At 42.9% G+C, this 19853-nt stretch overlaps 1 long non-coding RNA gene across 2 annotated transcripts, besides 3 other annotated features; it reads left to right on the top strand.

Moving 5' to 3' along the window:
• Positions 1–7821: 7821 nt before the first annotated feature.
• Positions 7822–12058, top strand: LOC105378100 (uncharacterized). Of its 2 annotated transcripts, XR_943208.3 has the most exons (4): positions 7822–8335; positions 8842–9618; positions 10552–10658; positions 11618–12058. It is a non-coding gene; the product is annotated as an uncharacterized LOC105378100 (long non-coding RNA). The 2 variants fall into 2 exon arrangements; XR_943207.3 differs by lacking the exon at positions 8842–9618.
• Positions 8559–8853: a silencer, noted in NCBI's record as "tiled region #14773; HepG2 Repressive non-DNase unmatched - State 10:DNaseD". NCBI's record gives its function as "represses a minimal TATA promoter and a strong SV40 promoter by Sharpr-MPRA in HepG2 cells {active_cell/tissue: HepG2}" and the evidence as "EXISTENCE:reporter gene assay evidence [ECO:0000049][PMID:27701403]".
• Positions 13377–14576: an enhancer, noted in NCBI's record as "MED14-independent group 3 enhancer chr6:163807926-163809125 (GRCh37/hg19 assembly coordinates)". NCBI's record gives its function as "activates an origin of replication core promoter dependent on BRD2, BRD4, P300/CBP and CDK7 cofactors, and independent of MED14, by STARR-seq in HCT116 cells {active_cell/tissue: HCT116}" and the evidence as "EXISTENCE:reporter gene assay evidence [ECO:0000049][PMID:35650434]".
• Positions 16576–17775: an enhancer, noted in NCBI's record as "BRD4-independent group 4 enhancer chr6:163804727-163805926 (GRCh37/hg19 assembly coordinates)". NCBI's record gives its function as "activates an origin of replication core promoter dependent on BRD2, P300/CBP, MED14 and CDK7 cofactors, and independent of BRD4, by STARR-seq in HCT116 cells {active_cell/tissue: HCT116}" and the evidence as "EXISTENCE:reporter gene assay evidence [ECO:0000049][PMID:35650434]".

Genomic DNA, 19853 nt, shown 5'->3' with positions numbered 1-19853 from the left:
CTTAGGGCTCTGCCCTCCTACCCCTCCCCCACAAAGATGTCCCCTCCGGGCCATTGTTCCCTTGCACTTGTCTTCCGTGTTCCTCCCTGATAGCTCTGTGCCTCTAGCGTACAGCACGATGTGGGTCTCTGTTGTTGAATTTAAATTGGCCCAGTGAGGCAATACAGCACAATGGGGAAAAGCTGTGTCTCGACTGGGTGCCATCGGGCAGGCAGCTTGAGCTCAGCCGTCCTCAGTCTTCTCAGCTGCAAAATGGGGATGCTAATTGTGAAAGGGAAATTAAAAATCGGGACCACAATTCACTCTGCCAAAAGAAAAATTAAGCTGAAAGCTGAGTCATGCAAGATGCGGCCTTTCCTTTTGTTCCTAAGCAGAGAGCTACAGATAAAAGCTTCAACATCTCCACAGGTAGCTTCTCAGTGTTCACCTTATGTTACATAAATTGCCAATTTACTGAGCACGATTTACTGAGTAGAGAGGAATACGTAACGACGATTCCCCTACCTGCTCCTTTTCTCTTTTCCCCTTTAAATATTGAAGCCCTCAAAATCAAGATTGGAGAAAGGCACACACCACAGATTGTTTCTGTGATTCCATGTTTATTTCTTCTGGGCATGTCCTTAACCTTGGGAAAATAAACTTCTAAATTGATTGAGACCTGTCTCCAAAACTTTTTGGTTTACATAATAATGCCCATTTTATCATGCTACCATGAGGATGACATTGGGCAATGATAACCCCCGACCTATGCCTGGAATACAGTGATTGCTCAATAAAAACTGGTTCTTATTATAATTCTTATTAATGTCTTTTTTAAAAAATCAATCTGCTCACTGATTTTTATTCTTTCTTAAAAAAATAGACTACCTTTAGACTGCCTCCTTTCATCATGCACAATGTGAGGCATTGGGGGTACAACGGGAAGTAATTGTCTCTGCCTTCCAGGAATTCTGCAGAGTGGTAAAGAGGGCAAGTACCAAAAATTACAGAGCAATGAGCTAGGTCTTGCAATGGGACTATCCTTGGTCTCCTGTGGGAATGTTGGATGAGAAGCAACTAACTCCACCTGAGGACTAGAACAGGGAGAGGCTGTGGAGAGAAGACTCCTAGAGGAGCTGACAAGAGTCAGACTGGACAAGACCAGAAGGGAATTGCCACAGGGGGAAGGAGGAAAGAAGGTCTTGCCCGGGGAAACCGTGGGTGCAGTCAGCGGGGATGGCTGGTCGTGCCCTCCATGGCCCTGGGCTGGTACAACAGTTGTTCTAATTTAATCTGTGGATCTAGTCTCCTTAGTAGTCATGCAGACTCAGTAGAGAACAACATTATGGAGCCTGCTTCTGTGAACATCCGTCTTTCAGCTTCAAAGCTCTACCTCCAGAACAGCCTTCCTTCGCGGCACAGTGCTTCACCTGAGGAACATATTAATAATATGACTCGCACTGTTTGAGCGCTTTCCATGTGCCCGGCACAATCTGGGCCTTTCAAACATCATCTCACGCAGTCCTCTCAAAAGTAATCCTGTGTGGTCATCTCGTTCTGTGTCAAATCCCGGCTCCAAACAGTTTCTACGTTGGCCCTTGGGCAAGTAACCTCACTGTGCCTCTGTTTCTTCATCTTCCAAAGGGGATGCCCAGCCCACCTCACAGGTTGATAAGGGGGCGATGGGAGTTAATATATGCAGAGCCCTTAGAACAGTCACCAACACGTGGTAAGAACTCAGTAACTGCTATTCGTGTGCCACTGCACATGCCTCTAGAGTTTTTTGTTTGTTTGTTTGTTTGAAATGGAGTCTCCCTCTGTCACCTAGGCTGGAGTGCAGTGGCACGGTCTCGGCTCACTGCGACCTCTGCCTCCCGGGTTCAACCAATCCTTCTGCCTCAGTCTCCAGAGTAGCTAGGATTACAGGTGCCCACCACCACGCCCACCTAATTTTTGTATTTTTAGTAAAGACGATGTTTCACCATATTTGTCAAGCTGGTCCCGAACTCCTGACCTCAGGTGATCCGCCTGCCTCAGCCTCCCAGTGTTGAGATTACAGGCGTGAGCCACCACGCCTGGCCAAGTGCCTCTAGATTTTTGACCCATTTGCAGAGTAGTGGGAAGAGGCAAAGATTGATAGCAGTTCAAAATTGGTTTTCTCTTGCTCTTGGGCACATAACTATTTCCATTTCCCACCTCCCATATGGCCATGTGTCTGAGTGCCAGCCAGTGGAATAGGAGCTGTACTCCTTCCAGCCTGGCCTACAAATCCGGCCCCTGCCTTCACCATCAGCTGTCTCATTCAGGCTAGAGGGAAAGGAGATGTGTTGAAGATGTGAGTCCCAAAATGAGAGCATGGAGAAGGTCATCCTTCAGGCCCGTCCACTGCACGGTTCCGTTGCGTAAATAAGAAACAAGCCTTCACACACTTGGCGAGCAGCCTAGCCAGCTTTTACTAACACGTGTGTGTCCAGAGCTCAGGGAAGGGCCAGCCTTGCAGTGCCTTGTGGGAGATACAGCTGTGGTCTGCTCAGCAGGTTCTACTTCCTCCTCCTCCTCCCCGTAAGAAACTCCCTCTCTTATGTGAGAATCTACAACATGATTTGCTGTGGCTTAATTTCTGCACCACCAAGTTGGCAGGCAGTGCACACACAGCCGAGGCTCCGAGCCATTGGCCACATGATCAGTTCTGGGGCAGCCTCTTGACCCATAATCAGTTATTGTGGCCTAATCAATTATTGCTGAAGCATTCAGGAGAAGGGGATCTCTCCTTTTGGGTGAGATTGCTGGCTTTAGAGGATGCAGATATCCTATGGATTCTTTCAAAGAAAGAAGCCAGCACAGGGGAAGCAGAGCCAATGTGGAAGAACAGTTCCTTAGGGCGTCGTTTCAACTCCAGCATCCATTAATGTTTGATTCACCTTCCTCAGTTACCTGGGTAATAAGCCTCCTTTGTGTTTAAGCTGATTAAAGCCAGTTTTCCCAGTACTTCCCAACTTACCAGCTTTGCCCATTACCTCCAGTTCCCTGGGCCTCAGCCCCACTCCCTCTAACACCTGCCTTGAGAGCTGTCTCGATAATCTCATCTTCACATTACATAAAATATTAAAATTCCTTAAATAATCAGTGACTGTAACAGGCATGGCTTCCACTGAGGGGAGAAGAGTATTAGTCACTCACACGTGGTCTCCATGGATAATACTCCTTCTTAGGAAAGGAGTCTTGCTATATACACTAGAACAAACAAGGTCCCATTAGCACAAACTCAGTAGAACTGCCCCTTTGTTTTATTGTGCTGAACTTTTGTCCTATTAAAGATTTTTAAAAGTAAATGGTGAATTTGGGGAGTTTGGAAATCTGCAAATTTCCTTCACAATGTGTTTCCTTGTACTAGAATTTAATTAATGATATTTTTATCTGTTTTTCATTTAAAGCAACATAGTTGCAACCCCAGAGATTTACAAAATCAGAAACATAAATTAATTTTTACCATTAGTTATACAGACTATCCTCCCAGCCTTCGCTTTAGTCTTTTGATTAAATACAGGCTATCCCCAAATATTTGATGGGCTAGTTCTGTAAAGTGTATATTCCACTTGTGTCTCAAACACTAGAATACCAGGCTTGTATTTTTTAATTTTGTTTTGGATTTTATTTTGAAATTCTTACTTGTATAAACCAATCCCTTATCAAAATAGAAAATTTTCAAAAGTTGCTTAACTTTGTCACTCTCCTCGTCTTTCATGCTGGTGAAAACCAGCCTGGCCATTTGACATTGAGGTTTTCTTTCTCCATATTCATCTCCAGGCTCTGAGTTCATTATTCCAGTGAAACCACGCTAAGGAAAAAAGACTTTCCTACCCTCCTCTCATCTGTTGAACTTTGGCTTCCTTCACTCTCCCTTGCTCTGCACACCCCAGCTCCTCCGAAATCAAATGTCAGGAGACTAACTCCGTGAAGAGTCTCTAAGAACAGAGTCCTAATCAATCTTGTTCATGTTGTGGGGAGGGGAGGGCTGGGAGTTCCTGTTTAAAGTATTCAGGATTTCTGCTGGGGATAATGACAAAGTTCTGGAAATCGTTGGTGATGGTTACACAACATTGTATATGTAGTTAATGCCAATGAATTGTACACTTTAAAATGGTCATATGGTAATTTTTAAGTATATTTTATCACAATGAATTTCTGTCTTGTATATTTGTATAAATTACTAAATAATAGTTGCATCATTCCTATGGATAGCAGCAGCTAAGAAGCCTGAAGAAGTCAGTCAAATAGAACGGGTAAAGAAATTTTGTTTCTTAAAAAAGTGCCCGACAGAACAAAGCACACGCACCCTTTGCCAACTGTCTTTGGGAAAAGGCTCTGTTCGCTCATGCGCAGAAGGAAGCCAGGCCGCGAGGATGTCGACCGGGGCAAGATGAATGACCCCCTGGAGACCGCAGGGTTTGTGTTCGAGTTTCCACCACCTTTTCATCCTTTTGTCCACCCCCCTGATTCACATGCAGATTAGCCCAGACCAACTCCCCTCTAAATACTCTTTTCACGCCGGTTGGAAGGTAGAAGTCTCATCTAAATATGCATGAGGCTTTTTCTCCCGGGTTTCTGATGCGCTCTTGTTGGATGTTGAGGAATTACGTTAATTAATGCGTGCCTGCACACACCGACACAGAAACCAGGCACGCACATGCACACACACACGCACCTGCACACACACACACACACACACACACACACACACACACACACAATCAGCTTTGTCAGATCCTCCTTCGGCACTCACCAAGCAGTTCCCATGAAAAGGAAGGAAGGAGAGAGGGGGAGGAGGAGAGATTTGAAATCTGTTGCCAGGGGAGAAATAAATGGTACAGCTTGATACAAAAGAAAGTACAAAGTTTCATCTTTGCTTTCTGGAGTTGCAAATCTAACTGTTGTTTCCAGTCAGTCCCAATGTAAAATAAGACAAGGCCATTGCAAACGCAGAACTGCCTGGCCTGGCTCTTCCCAGTGGTGAAGAAAAAGTTAAGGACAGAGTTTAAATGTTGGAAATAAGTTGTAAATTTGAAAATAAAGAACTCATCAATAGTTTGTTTAAGCAGGGCTTTAGGCAAATTCCTTCACCACAGATCATGTGAGTCTGGATCCCAGAAGGAGTTGTTAGGGTTTGTATTATACCGCCGTTTTCGCTGTCTTTTTCCCTCTGTCTCTTCTGTGGCTTTTAGATGCTGTTTTCATTAGGCTAGCTAAATTCCACTTTAAGATGAATTCACCCTAAATGTGTTTGCATGAAATTATATCGAGTTATGGCTTACAGTGTAAATCATCTTTAATTATAGGTAATCTTTATGATATTTTAACAGATAGGATAATATATTAGCACACTGGAACTGAGGTGCAGACACCTCAGTTAATGGCCTTAATATCACACTGCCAGCAACAGTCATCTTTCCAACCTTTAATCATCTCCCTCGCCTGCCCCTTCCTTTCTGTTCTCAGTGAACACAGAATGCCCAAGCAGCCCATCAGACCCTGGTCCGGAAGGGCCCAGGGCTCTGTCACTAACTTTCAAATTTGTGTATCATGACAGTAGGTTGAAAAGTGTATTTTTTCTGTGTGTGTGTTTTTTTAATATAACCCATCAACGGATACTGGTTTTCATTTCTAGATCTTAATATACTAAAATATGAAGATTTTGTTATTTTCAAAAATTCCTTCTTGATTCAAGCAATGAATAATTAGCGTAGCTCTCTTCATCCATCCTCACAGGGTACAAAAAGATTGGGAAATCCTGCTTCAGGCCCACACTGCTTCTCTAGCTGAAGGGAGGCAAAGCAGAAATAAATCTCCAACTTCCCTGAAGCATACGGAAGGCTTCCCTATGCATTTTGTGACAAACTGAAAATTAGTTGTTGATAATATTTCTTTCACATGAAAGTACAGAACGTACTCTATTCTCCATCCCAGACCCCACTCCAAACAAAATCTGTTATTTGAAGTCCACATAAATAACCGACTCTGGTCTATTTATGTAACTATTGTTGTAATCAGCATTACACATTCTTAGCTTACAACCAAGGTGTCTTTATGTTTCATCAATAAAAACTAAGATGGAATGTTCACACAGAAAGTGTTTTCTTTCATCTGCTACACTGACAGGGAATTGTCATACTCAGCGTTATTTCCTAGTCATTTATTACTGACTTGTCTGAATGAATAGGTACCTGGCTCTATCTAAGTTTAAAGAAAACTGTATCTACATTTTTTAAAGAAAAAGTTAGTGAAAGAGTTCAAAAAATTGTTCCAGATTCCTCCTGGGGGAGGTAATGCATTGCTTGGAAGGTATTTCAGAAGGGCATTTTGTAGAAAACTCTGGGAATCAGTGGGGGTATTCAGTAAATATTTTTGTGTGAATGTTGGATGGCTTTGATCAAGTAAATTAAATGCACACACACACTCTTAGTCATCATTTTATGCATAAATAAATATCTATACATAAACAGAACTATTACCTCTACTGATGGTGGATTACTGAGCTCAACTGTGTCCCACACTTCAAGTGGCTCCTGGCTCTGGGGTAGGCATTGCTGCCTTGTGTGAAGGGACCACCCCACATCCATCAACAGGTCTAGACAGAGACTGGCTTCCTCCCAGCTGACACTCAACAGAAAACGGTGGAGTTGGCCTTTTAACCGTGCACAGTGGATGGTCCTGATCTGCGTGGAGTAAGCTGAGGGTCTCCAAGAAGGCTTTCTTGGCTAAAAATATGTTCCGAGCCAGTGGACTTTAATTCTTTTAACAAAAATATTAGTCATGGAAATTTTAAGAATTAAAATTAAAGTTTAATTTTGCTGAGTTAATTAAAGTTATTAACCTTTAATATATAGATAGTATATATGTGAGTATATATATACATATATATCTTCTGGGTGGATGGCATTATCAAGTGCTAACCTCTGACTAAAATTAGAGGTTGGAATAACCTGAGCAGGAAAGAAAAAAGAAGGCTGTTTTTTGTTTTTCATTTTTGTTTGTTTGTTTGTTTTTGAGACAGAGTCTTGCTCTGTTGTCCAGACTGGAGTGCAGTGGCACAATCATGGTTTACTGCAGCCATTGCCTCCCAGGCTTAAGTGATCCTCCTGCCTCAGTCTCCCGAGTAGCTGGGACTACAGGCGCACATCACCAAACCTGGCTAATTTTTGTATTTTTGTAGAGTTGCAGTTTTGTCATGTTGCCCAGGCTGGTCTGAAACTCCTGAGCTCAAGCGACCTGCCTGTCTCTGCCTCCCAAAGTGCTGGAATTACAGGCGTGAGCCACCACGCCCATCCCAGCTCTGTTTTAAAACACAGAATCCACAAAGGAAGGAAAAGGTCAGGCCCTTGCAACAGTGTTCTGTGGAGGCACATACTAGAATGTACTGGAATAGGGTTCCCTGAAAGCCAAGATACAGGGGTTTTTTTAGGGAATGGGGAGGTGTAAGGTAGCACACAAGAGAAATGACCAGCAGGGCAGAGGGAGCTGGGGACAAACTTTGTTCAGTGTCGAAGTTTATCCATGAAAATGAAACTAACACAAAACTATTTTTTTACCTATAAAATGGAAAAGTATGTTTTAATTATATTATCCATGGTTAACAAGGAGAGGAAACAGACATTCTCATATACTGATGATAATACTATAAATTGATAGGAGATTTCTGCAAGGCAGTTTGGTAATAGTTATCAAAAGATTTAGGTTGTGTTGGGGGGCTATAATTTCACTTCTGGGAATTTATTTTATGTAAATAATCATGAAAGGGTAAAGTTATAGTAATATTTTTATTTTAAATAGAAAAACATAGAATTTTTATCTTATTAGTGTGGTTTCATTTTATTTTGCTTAGCCGTAATTTCTATAATGAGTTGATTATGTGATAAGACATCAGCAATAATATTTGTTAAGAAAAAAAGTGTGCCCATGGTCAGTGGGCTCCTTTGCTGTTTGTTGATTGAAAATTTCCCTTCCAGGGCCTTCATGGAAACTGCTCTGGTGTCACAGAAATATATCCAAGGATGGAGGTAAATCCCATGTGCAAATACTGTCAAAACAGTGCCTCTCCTGACACCAAAACAAAAACGTGAGAATTTCAGTGAAATAGTCATGCATTGAGTAAAGTACAAAAAATCTGAAAGTTTTAATAAACTCAAATATATCTTTCAGAAACCAGTATACAAATGATTTCTCATTTACCTTTTTAAATACAACTAAATACACACAAAATCTAAGCAACATTTAGCATTTTCACTCTAAAACTTGGAGACCTCATCTTTTATCTAACCTCTCTTTTTTCCAGTACAGCGTCATTACCATGGAGTTTCATGTAAGTAGAAAAGCTTTGCAGAACCTCTTTTCTCAAACAAGAACCTATCCGAATCTGTATTAAAATGGCAAGGAATAAATGAAAATATCTATATGAAGTCTTAACTCAGAATTGAAATATTAAAAGTGACCGTTTTGCGTTGTCTCTTTCTCACAAAGCTTTATCTCATGGCATGATTTTTACTCCTCAGACATTTTCAAATATTTGATCCCTGAAGCTTTCACCCAACTCACTGCAAAGTTTAAAAATACTGCCTATTCCAAAGTGATTACACATGGTTCTCAAACATGATAGGAACTGGCAGACCAGCCCCCAGCTGTTTCCATGGAGACACTGGGAGTGGCAGTTATGCATTGTGAGATTTCTCCAGCCTGAAACTGTTACTGCCCTAGACTGAGACATACATGTTTCACAGCTAAGCCTGAATCCAAAATGAAATTAAAAGTTTACTGGCTAAATGCCAAATTCAAAACTACCCTGACCTGTCTTCCTCTGTTCTCTGACAGTGTGTACGTGTACAAGCTCGTCTGAAAAGAGTTGGCTTGTAAATGGGAGAAGCTGTCCAAGAAGTATTCTCACAATGAAATAATCATTTTATTTTGTCCATACCGACAAACAACCAGTCAATTCAGCTGGAGGAAAAAACAAACAAACAAACAAACATTTTATTTTCCAAATTTGTAATGAGTTCGCTTAATTATTTTTGGTTTATTGTGTTATCTACATAGTTGAATCTTAAATCTGAATTTTCATAACCTAAGGAAGGAGTCCCACTGAGTGATGTTTTATGTTACAATCATTTTACTGTAATCAATATTTAAGCGTATGGTAAAGGCAGCTAATATTGTGTCATAAACACTTCAAGTGAGTCACAGAACTCATTTCACCTGGAGGCTATGGAAGAGCCCTGGGCTTCCGCATTCCCTCCCTGACTCCTACTATGTCCACCTTTAATAGTTTTGTATGTGTCACTCCCTAAAACAACAACAACAAAAATGCAACTTGAAAACCACAGATCCATTCTAGCCTTTTACTCAGTTCACCCCTGTACAGCATTGCACAAAGACATGGAAACCAGCACAGATGACATTTGGAGACTACCAACCTTGGCTACTTGCCTTCAAGGAGCATTTATGTCATTTAAAAAGTTGCTGTACTTTAGCTTAGTGGCAGCCTTCTTTCCACCATTTTAGTATCTGCCATCGATTTTTCCATAAAAAACTGAGTGCCAGATCTTGGCTTTTCTTGACTGTTTAAGCTCGATATCAGGAAGAAAATGAGGAGTAAGACTTACATAACCTTACATTTTAAGGATAATTCATCTATAAAATCATTCAGCTTCCCTGAACTATGTGAATGGAATTTGTTTGCATGAATGTAATTCCACCAAAGGCTTCTAAACTGTGAACTAATCACATGATGTAATTCTGGAGGTTTCCCAAAATTAATCTTTGCATTAATTATCTTTTGCTCTCTTTTTATGTGTCATCTTGCCTTTTCACATTCCATTAGGTATCAAAACCAAGAGAGACAAAGTACAAGCTATTTATATTTTATCAAGTCTCAAGATAATGGAAAATATTTTATACCAATTAGAACTGCAGAAAAGCCAGGTGGTTCCTACACCCATATTTTGGCAGGATGCAAAAGAGCAAATAATTATGGGCGATACCTTAAAACACTTATTAAACAAAATCTTAAGAAGGATAGTGATTTCACTAAATTTTATTTTATTTTATTTTTTTGAGACAGAGTCTCGCTCTGTCGCCCAGGCTGGAGTGCAGTGGCACAGTCTCGGCTCACTGCAACCTCCGTCTCCTGGGTTCAAGCGATTCTTTTGCATCATCCTCCTGAGTAGCTGGGACTACAGGCGCCCGCCACCACCCCTGGCTAATTTTTGTATTTTTGGTAGAGACGGGGTTTCCCCATTTTGTCCATGCTGGTCTCAAACTCCTGAGCTCGTGATCCACCTGCCTCAGCCTCCCAAAGTGCTGGAATTACAGGCATGAGCCACTGCGCCTGGCCTTTATTTTTATTCTTTATTGAAATGAACCTGTGTGTGCACATGTGTCTGTGTGTTTGTGTGTATGTACAGATGTATAATGAGGTATGGTTAGAATGAACATTGCTTCAAGTCCTATTTCTTCACAGGCTGATTGACAGTGGGGAAGTCACCTCACTTCTCTAAACCTTACTTTTCTCATCTAAAATTACAGCTAACAATGCTTGTTCCATCTGTTTCCATTTTGTCATGAAAATCAAAGGAGGTAGTGGATGTGAAATTTTACTGATTACATATATAGGATCCAAATAACATGCAGTGGTGAATAACATAATTATACCAGTAACTCAATGTAGGATTTGGGGTGACCTGTTTGTCTTTAATGAGCCTATATTTCTTCACATATGAAAATGGTATTGAAGTGGATAGAAGTGATATTGCAGCATAACCTTGAGGACAGATAGATTTCTTACAACTGTTTTCTTTTCTTTTTTCTTTTCTTTTTTTGAGACGGAGTTTCGCTATTGTTGCCCAGGCTGTCGTGCAATGGTGCGATCTCGGCTCACAGCAACCTCCACCTCCCAGATTCAAGTGCTTCTCCTGCCTCAGCCTCCTGAGTAGCTGGGATTACAGGCATGTGCCACCACACTCAGCTAATTTTGTATTTTTAGTAGAGACAGGGTTTCTCCATGTTGGTCAGGCTGGTCTTGAACTCCCGACCTCAGGTGATCTGCCCATCTCAGCCTCCCAAAGTGCTGAGATTACAGGGGTGAGCCACCGAGCCCAGCCTTTTGTTTTCTTAAGTAACCAAAATTCAACTTGAAATAGTTTTTTTTTTTTTTGTCTCTTTTGTTTGTTTGTTTGTTTGTTTTTGCTCTGTCAGCCAGGCTGGAGTACAGTGGCATGATCTTGGCTCACTGCAACCTCTGCCTCCAGGGTTCAAGTGATTCTCCTGCCTCAGCCTCCCAAGTAGCTGGGATTACAGGCACCCACCACCATGCTGGGCTAATTTTTGTATTTTTAATAGAGATGGGGGTTTCGCCATGTTAGCCAGGATAGTCTCAAACTCCAGACCTCAGATGTTTTCCCCCTTCGGCCTCCCACAGTGTCAACTTGAAATAGCTTAAGCAAAGAAAGAAAAGGTTTTTACTGAAAGTCTCAAATAACCATGGAAAGGGCAAGGAAGCAACTGAGCTTTAGAAACCACTGGAACCAGGGGCTGGAGTGCTAACAAGACTTTCTCCTTTCTCTTCTCCCTGCATGTTATTTCACTTTCTCAGACAAACCTCCTGCATATGGCTGAATGCTAAGCCACCAGCTACTCCTGCCCTCACATCTCACAACTTTGCTGCAAGAAAAAACAAAACAGAACATCTTGGCTAAAACTGCCCACCTCCTTACCCCAAGCTTGATGCCAGCTGAAGAGTCCCAGGAGACCAGTTGGCTTAGCCCGGGTCAGAGGCCCTGGATGGGAGTGGATGATTGGTAGCCATCATTTGCACCTGATGGTTAGAGTGTGAGAGAAGCAGTCTTCCTGAAGAAGAGAGGTGGTGTCCTCAGAAAAGAGGAAGGGTACAAGGTTGTGAAAGCAATAAATGCTCACGCAAAAGAGGGTTGACCCAAGGTCTGGCCTTCTTCTTGCCACTCTCTAGTGAGGGAGCCCTTAGGAAATTGATTATGCTCTCTGTCAAGCGGCAAAAATAAAACCTGCCCCTGCCTTACGTGGTGATGTGAGGAACAGATTACAGAATAGATTTAAAGTGGCCTTTCAAAGTTTAAAGTGCGATACCAATGAAAGGTAAACTAAGTTATTCTGGTTCTCTCCCTGCATTTGGTCAGTTCCTGTAACGCAAACCATTCTAGGTAGGTTATAATCTCATGAAAGTTCGGAAGCAAGGATTAAGGCCACTCTCTAGCTCTGTTTGGTTGAGAAACAGCACTATTTCAGAGATTTTTTAAATAGATAAAATTGTATTCATCACCTGTTAAATCATGCATGAGATTTACTTGGGGTGATCCCTGAAATTTTTTCAATTAGAAAAATGTAAATTACAAAATACATTATTTATAATGCACACACGGTTGACTATGTTTTAGAATATTACCTAAAGAAACCACAGAAGAATAACAACACAAATACAGATTCTTTGATACTATACTAGTATACATGTTCTGCTTCTTCCTTTCAGGTCTATTTGCAGAGTCTTCCATTCTTGAGCAATTTTCTCTGGGGTGACTCTCCGCTACTATGAAACCTGTGTCTGTTTGACAATACCTGTGCCCATTGTGCAGAGTTCTTTGTGGCCCTATCATGGGGGACTTCCATTCTGTACTTGGTTACTTCAGTGTGTCAGCTAGATCCAGCTGCTCTGCGCTGGTTCATGTGGGTACCACCTACATGCAATGCGTCTCCATTTATCTTACTGTCCATCCAGGTCCATTGTACCCTTCAAGACTGGTTGAAGCCCACTGCTGTAGGACATCAGTTCCTCTGGCCCTGTTCCTTTGTGAAGCCTTTTTGTGTTTTGTGTGACTGTGTGATCTGACTGCATTCACAGGCACTTCTCACACATAGCTTTGTGCATCTTCTCAAATTGCTACATGTGTATGTTTGTCCCTCCAAAGGATTAAAACCTGAGTGAGTGCCAGCTTTCTCTGCAGGAGGAGTGGGTAGTGACCTTTGGTGCTTCCAGAAGAAAAGCATGCAGGACATCATGGTAAAAGTGGGATGCGCAGCAGAGACACCCTTGCAACTTCATCCCGCTGCTCACTTCCCACCTGGGTCCCTGACCTCACTGGAAATTGGGGTCCAGGGACTGGAATCCATTTGCTCTGGCCTTTGTCTCTCTGGGCTGGGTGTGGGGCCGTGAAAGGATGAGCGCCTCCTGCCCATGGTTGCAATGGGAGATCCAGAGGATACATGCTGAAAATAATATCCTGGGGTGAGGGCCAAGGTCATGGCCAGTGAGTGAGTCCAAACCATCTCATAAATTAATGCAACTCTTGGAAAACTGGGAGCTGAGTTAATGGAGCCGAAATGAGTGGTGTGGAGCCACAGGGAGAGCCACGAGTGTCCAGAGGGAGCCAGTGCCACCGGCCACGCGGCCCAAGACCTTCCAGGGCCTTCCCTTCATGGTCTTGCAGGCAGCTGGGCCTGCTGGGGCCGGAAGGGAGCTGGGCCCCTCAGACACAGCCGAGGAAAACTTGACTGCTGGTGTGCCAGATCCGTCCACAGGTCCCCAGGGATTCCCCAAGTGAATTCTGTCCTCTAAAGCTCGTCACAAACAGGTAGGAAATTCTACTCTTTAATTATCCTAATCCCAAACAAGTCATGATACTCACATAGCCAATTTCAGGTTTAATCGTGTTACCTTTATCCAAGTAGAAATCAATTCCCATTTTTGTATAGCTCTGCAGAACATCCAGAGTGCTTCAGCGCAGAGCAAGGCCCCAGCAGTTATGAGTGCTATCATCATATGGGAAAAAGAAGTTCATCACTCTGTGTGTGTGTGGAGCGGGAAGGGATGGGAGGCAAGTTTATGACAGTTTCCATACTTTATCTAACTATCCATACACTTCCTCCTCTTCCCTCCTCTTCCTGTTGGGACATGTTTGTACATGCCACATGCCATGAGATTCCAAAGGAAATATGAGCCCTTTATGATTGTCTAAATCAGAGTCCAATTGCAGGGCTGGGCCTTGTGTTACAAATTCAATCACAGTTTAGAAATTAATCATACACTTGGCTGGGCGTGGTGGCTCTCGCCTGTAATCCCAGCACTTTGGAAGGCTGAGGCGGGCAGATCACAAGGTCAGGAATTCGAGACCAGCCTAGCCAATGTGGTGAAACACTGTCTCTACGAAAAATACAAAAATTAGCCAGGCGTGGTGGCACATGCCTGTAATCCCAGGTACTCTGGAGGCTGAGGCAAAAGAATCGCTTGAACCCAGGAGACAGAGGTTGCAGTAAGCCAAGACCGTGCCACTGCACTCCAGCCTGAGCAACAGAGCGAGACTCCATCTAAAAAAAAGAAAAGAAAAAAGATTAACGGTACACTTAAAAAAAAATGTAACATTTCAAACCCAAGTATGACTCCACTCACTTCTACAAAGCTGTTGGTCTATAACTGCATGTCTGACTCCTACAAAGGCAGAACTGTATTGCTGCCTGCTACTCACGCACTAGATTGTTCAATTCTTAAAAAAAAATTTCTGACAGAGAAATTGAATATGTATATGGCTATCTGAAGTCTGCACACATTAGTAATTTCAATCGATTGGTGATTGAGGGACTTTCTCTATTATTCGGCTTTGAAGTGCCACAGTTCAGGGGGAAATGTCCTTCCCGCTGTTCACTTTTCTCCTCCCTCCCTTCCTCTGCCAGAGAAGGACGAGGGTGAGGAGAGGGAACCTTATGCCTCCCAGGCCTGAGCTCTGTAATTGGATGGAGACTTGGGAGATGTCAGGGGATGAAGAAGATCCAGGCAGCCTATGACTAATCCAGACTCGGCTGTAATTTTCATTCTCTGTGCTTTCTAATGGGAATATAAAGAAAGTTTTGGACTCTGAAGGAGAAGAAAGCAAGAAAAAGTCGTTTTTTAAGGGGAAAGAAAAGCTTTCTTTATTCACAACCTCATTTTCCGTTGAGTAAAATTTATCACTTTTGGAAAACCTTTTATTTTCTGGTAGGAAAGTTCAAACCCAGTTGAGGATTTTATTCCCTCCCTTGTACCCGAGTGTGATTTCTCTTAACATCAGTTCCCTTTCTATCAAAATTTGAGCATGTCAAAAATTTCACTAAAAATGGGTGAAGCACAAGATTCTTTTCTATCCAATGACCAGAAAAAAAAAGGAGACCCTTTGCCTCATCTTCTTTTAGATGACACCAAACACTCTCCAGATGGAATAACAGAAAGGAGAAAACAATACCTTTCCAGGATGTGGCTTTAGGGAGAAAAGAGGTAACAGACCAAAACGGGGGAGGTGAATGGCTGGTGGGCCATGGGGCTGCCGCAGGTAGCAGGGATTCACTCAGTAATCCCAAGTGCTTTCCCAGGAATTGCCTTCTATGGTATTTTGATGTTTTGTTTTTTTGAGACAGCGTCTCAGAGTATTTTTTTTTTTTTTTTTTTTGAGATGGAGTTTCGCTTTTGTCACCTGGGCTGGAGTGCAGTGGCGCGATCTCGGCTCACAGCAACCTCCGCCTCCCGGGTTCAAGCCATTCTCCTGCCTCAGCCTCCGGAGTATCTGGGATAACAGGCATGCGCCACCACGCCCGGCTAATTTTGTATTTTTAGTAGAGACAGGATTTATCCATGTTGGTCAAGCTGGTCTCGACCTCCGGACCTCAGATGATCCACCGCCTCGGCCTCCCAAAGTGCTGGGATTACAGGGGTGAGCCACCGCGCCCGGCCGAGACAGAGTCTTGCTCAGCTGCCCAGGCTGGAGTGCAGTGGCACAGTCACAGCTCACTACGGCCTCTGCCTCCTAGGTTCAAGTGATCCTCCTACCTCAGCCTCCCAAGTAGCTGGGACCACAGGGGCACACCACTATGCCTGGTGAATTTTTTTGATTTTTTGTAGAGATGGGGTTTCACCATGTTACCTAGGCTGGTCTCTAACTCCTGAGCTCAAGCGATCTGCCCACCTCTGCCTCCCAAAGTGCTGGGATTACAGATGGAGCTGCCGTACCTGGCCCTCTTCTGTGTTATTTTAAATAAACACCTACTTTGGCATCCAGAGATGAGGAAGCTTTATTTGCCTTATAGGTGACCAAGAGTTTATTGTAACTTTCCTTTGGGAGGCAGAGCAGCTGCCAAGCAGCTAGAGAGTGAAGAAAACTTGTTGAAATGCTAAGCTTTTGTGTAGGGTGATTGGAGACCCGGGTTCTAGTCCTTGTGCCGCTAAATAGCTGTGTGACTTTAGGCAAATCACTCCCTCTCCCTGAGTTTCACTTTCTTTATAAGAGGTGAATTCAACTATTTTTTCCCTATTTCTTCAAGCTCCAAGACTCTGTAATTATAGCAATCAACACCAGCAAGAATGTTAAAATTATTATGTGAGCAGTTAATTCTGAAATGTGAATTACGGAATGAATTCTTATGGCACCTTGAGCATGACTAGTAGCATTTTACCAGATCACCTCTAGGAACATCCTGAGATGGAGACTTAATAGCAAATCAATAAATTCCAGACAGCAGGGGACATCTCCCAGTATATGAACAAACTAGCAATTGGTGAACTGATTCTTATCTTAATAAGGTGAGCCTAGCTTTTTGAACACCTACTGTGCCAGGCATTGTGTTATGCCCTTTACATCAATTTCCTCATTAAGTTTTTGCAACAGTCCTGTGAAGTTGCTAGTGTACCCATTTTACAGATGAGGAAACTAAGACTCAGAGTGAGTAGGTAAATTTACCCATATCATTCAGATCAGACTCAAAGACAAGTGGCTCTGACTCCGTGCTAATATCCTTGAGCAATATACTCGACTTCCTCATTCATTAGAAAAGCCACAAAGACCTGAAATATTAATAGCAACACATCCTTAAGGGTAAGAATTTTGTTTTGATTACAAATCCTCTCTTGTGCTTAAATCAGGACTTACACATAGTTGGTTCTCATTCAAAGTCTGTTCAACGGAAAATAACCCCCCCGCTTGCCGACATGGCCCATGTCTTCTTGGGGCTTCCAGTCTTTAAATCAGTGCTACCAGCAGAATGTTCTGTGTTGAGAGAAAATTCGTTTTCTGCACTGTGCCACTGGTACCCACCAGTGGCTACTGAGTACCTGAAATGTGTTTAGGATGCCTGAGGAACTACATTTTAAATTTCATTTAATTTTAATGACTGTTCACGTAAATAGCCACACGTGACTTGTGGTTACCATAACTGAACGGTGTGGGCCTAGGGTCAAATAGGTGTAGAATGCTGGACATGAAGCAGGCATTTGGATTTACTACTGAAAAAAACAGACTCTTTGAAATTCAATACCTTGCCCAAGGAGTCATGCACTGAAAGGGGTGGACCCATGATTCAGCCCTGAGTTCTGCTGATGTAACCCAAATTCATACCTTCTCCACCTTCTTCATGTACCACATTACAGAAAAAAGGGTCAAGAACCTCCGGCTAAAGAAGCCCTAAAACATAAGCAAATGGAAGTATCAAATGATAGTTTCCACGATTTGAGATGATATCACATGGGGAATTTGATCACCCTTTAGAAGAGGGAATCTACTGCCTTTTGACAAAGGTCCATCAGATAAGAAACTTACCACAGTCCAATAAAATTTGCAGACCAGCACTGGCACTCGGTTCTACTATCATTGGGTGCTAACAATTAGTTCACAGCCTGTATTAGTCCATTTTCACACTGCTAATAAAGACATACCCAAGACTGGGGAATTTATAAAGAAAAAGAAGTTTAATGGACTCACAGTTCCACGTGGCTGGGGAGACCTCACAATAATGGTGGAAGGTGAAAGGCACATCTTACATGGTGGCAGACAAGAGAGAGAATGAGAACCAAGAGAAAGGGGAAACCCCGGATAAAACCATCAGATCTCGTAAGACTCATTCACTACCATGAGAACAGTATGGGGGAAACCTCCCCCATGATTCATTTGTCTCCCAACAGGTCCCTCCCACAACAGGAGGGAATTATGGGAGCTAAAATTCAAGATGAGATTTGGGTGGGGACACAGCCAAACCATATCACATCCCATATGTCTGAGCCATAAAAATAAAATAATAGCAGGAATGGGAATGCAGGGTGGTGATGCCTGCTGCTGTGCCTGAGGATGAGTGAGTGAATGCAGGGGCAGCATGCCACTGCAGATGCTCTAGAACAGTGTTTCCTAGCCTTTCTCCTGGGCAGCTTCCCAAAGTGCCTTTTCAGACATGTTTTTATTTTTGTCTTCATTTTGAGACAGGGTCTCACTCTATGGCCCAGGCTGGACTGCAGTGGCATGATCATGGCTCACTGCAACCTCGACCTCCTAGGCTCAAGAGATCCTCCTGCCTCAGCCTCCCAAAAAGCTGGGAACATAGGCGCTCACCACCAAGCCCAGTTAATTTTTTTTTTTTTTTGGATTGTTTTGTAGACATGAAGTCTCACTATGTTGCCAGGCTGGTCTCAAACTCCTGGGCTCAAGTGATCCTCCCACCTCAGCCTCCCAAAGTGCTGGGATTGCTGGCATGAGTCACTGCACCCAGCCCCCGATGTCTTTTTCTAATCACCTCCTCTCTTGAAGCTTTAATACTATAAGTATATCAGATATCTCTTTGTGTACATCTGTTACCTATACCTGTGCTTTATACATAAAAAGAATGTGACTTTTTTGCTCCCAAAGAACCAATTTTCATCACCTTGAGGGGGAAGGGAGCACCATCTAGGAAGAGGTTGAGGATGTTCTAGAATGGATGGACTTTTCTTGGCAATGAATAGGGACAAAATGGAAAAAGCGGGTGCCCCCATCAGGCAGGCTTCAGTTTGAGTCCTGGCCCTGCATCTTAGGCAAAGGACTTCATCTCTGTAAGTCTGTTTTGCTCATCCACAAAATGGGGATAAAAATATCCCCCTTGGCCAGGCACAGTGGCTCACGCCTGTAATCCCAACGCTTTGAGAGGCTGAGGCAGGTGGATCACCTGAGGTCAGGAGTTTGAGACAGCCTGACCAACATAGAGAAACCCCACCTCTACTAAAAATACAAAATTAGCCGGGCGTGGTGGTACGTGCCTGTAATCCCAGCTCCTCAGGAGGCTGAGTAGAAGAACCACTTGAACCCAGGAGGCGGAGGTTGCAGTGAGCCGAGATCACGCCATTGCACTCCAGCCTGGGCAACAAGAGCAAAACTCCATCTCAACAACAACAACAAAAATACCACCCTCCCGTTGGCTTGTTTTGAGGATGACATGAGGTAATAAATTCATCTAGAAGTCAGTGGTCTCTAATGGCTAGTTAGTTTATTTTTATGAACACAAACATTCTGGTAGTACAGCCAATTTCTAAATCTTTTGTTTCCTGGAGGTTTCCATTGTGAATTCTTTAAGAGGAGGCTTTACAGTGTCTAGGAACAGCTACATCTTTATGGTGCGGGCCCTCAAGAAATTAATGTTCAGAAGATATAGGCTGTCCTCCTCCTCCACCCCCAGTCACATCTTCCAAACACTTACTAAGGCCCTTCAGAGCTGATTAAACTGAAATCAGAGGCAGCATTTGCCTCATATAAAATATGCACAGGAACACTATCTTAATTAGATGTACATGTCTCTGAAGATATAAATAAATGCTTCCTTTTTGATACGTCTGATTTAATAGCCTAATAGCAGGGGAATGCTGCTGAAATATAATTCAGGGGGTGAGGGAGAAATTAATAAACTCAAATATTTAAAGCTCAACAGCAATTAACAACCCATTTAAAGCAAATTTCTGAATTTTAATTTTATTTATCCTTATCCAACCAGGACTAAGCCTGGGGTTCATCATTATTCACTTTCGCACCTAACAGGGTGCTCTG

This window comes from Homo sapiens, chromosome 6 (assembly GCF_000001405.40).
Source record: "Homo sapiens chromosome 6, GRCh38.p14 Primary Assembly".
Classification (NCBI taxonomy): Eukaryota; Metazoa; Chordata; class Mammalia; order Primates; family Hominidae; genus Homo; species Homo sapiens.
This window is presented reverse-complemented; position numbering and strand designations above follow the sequence as displayed.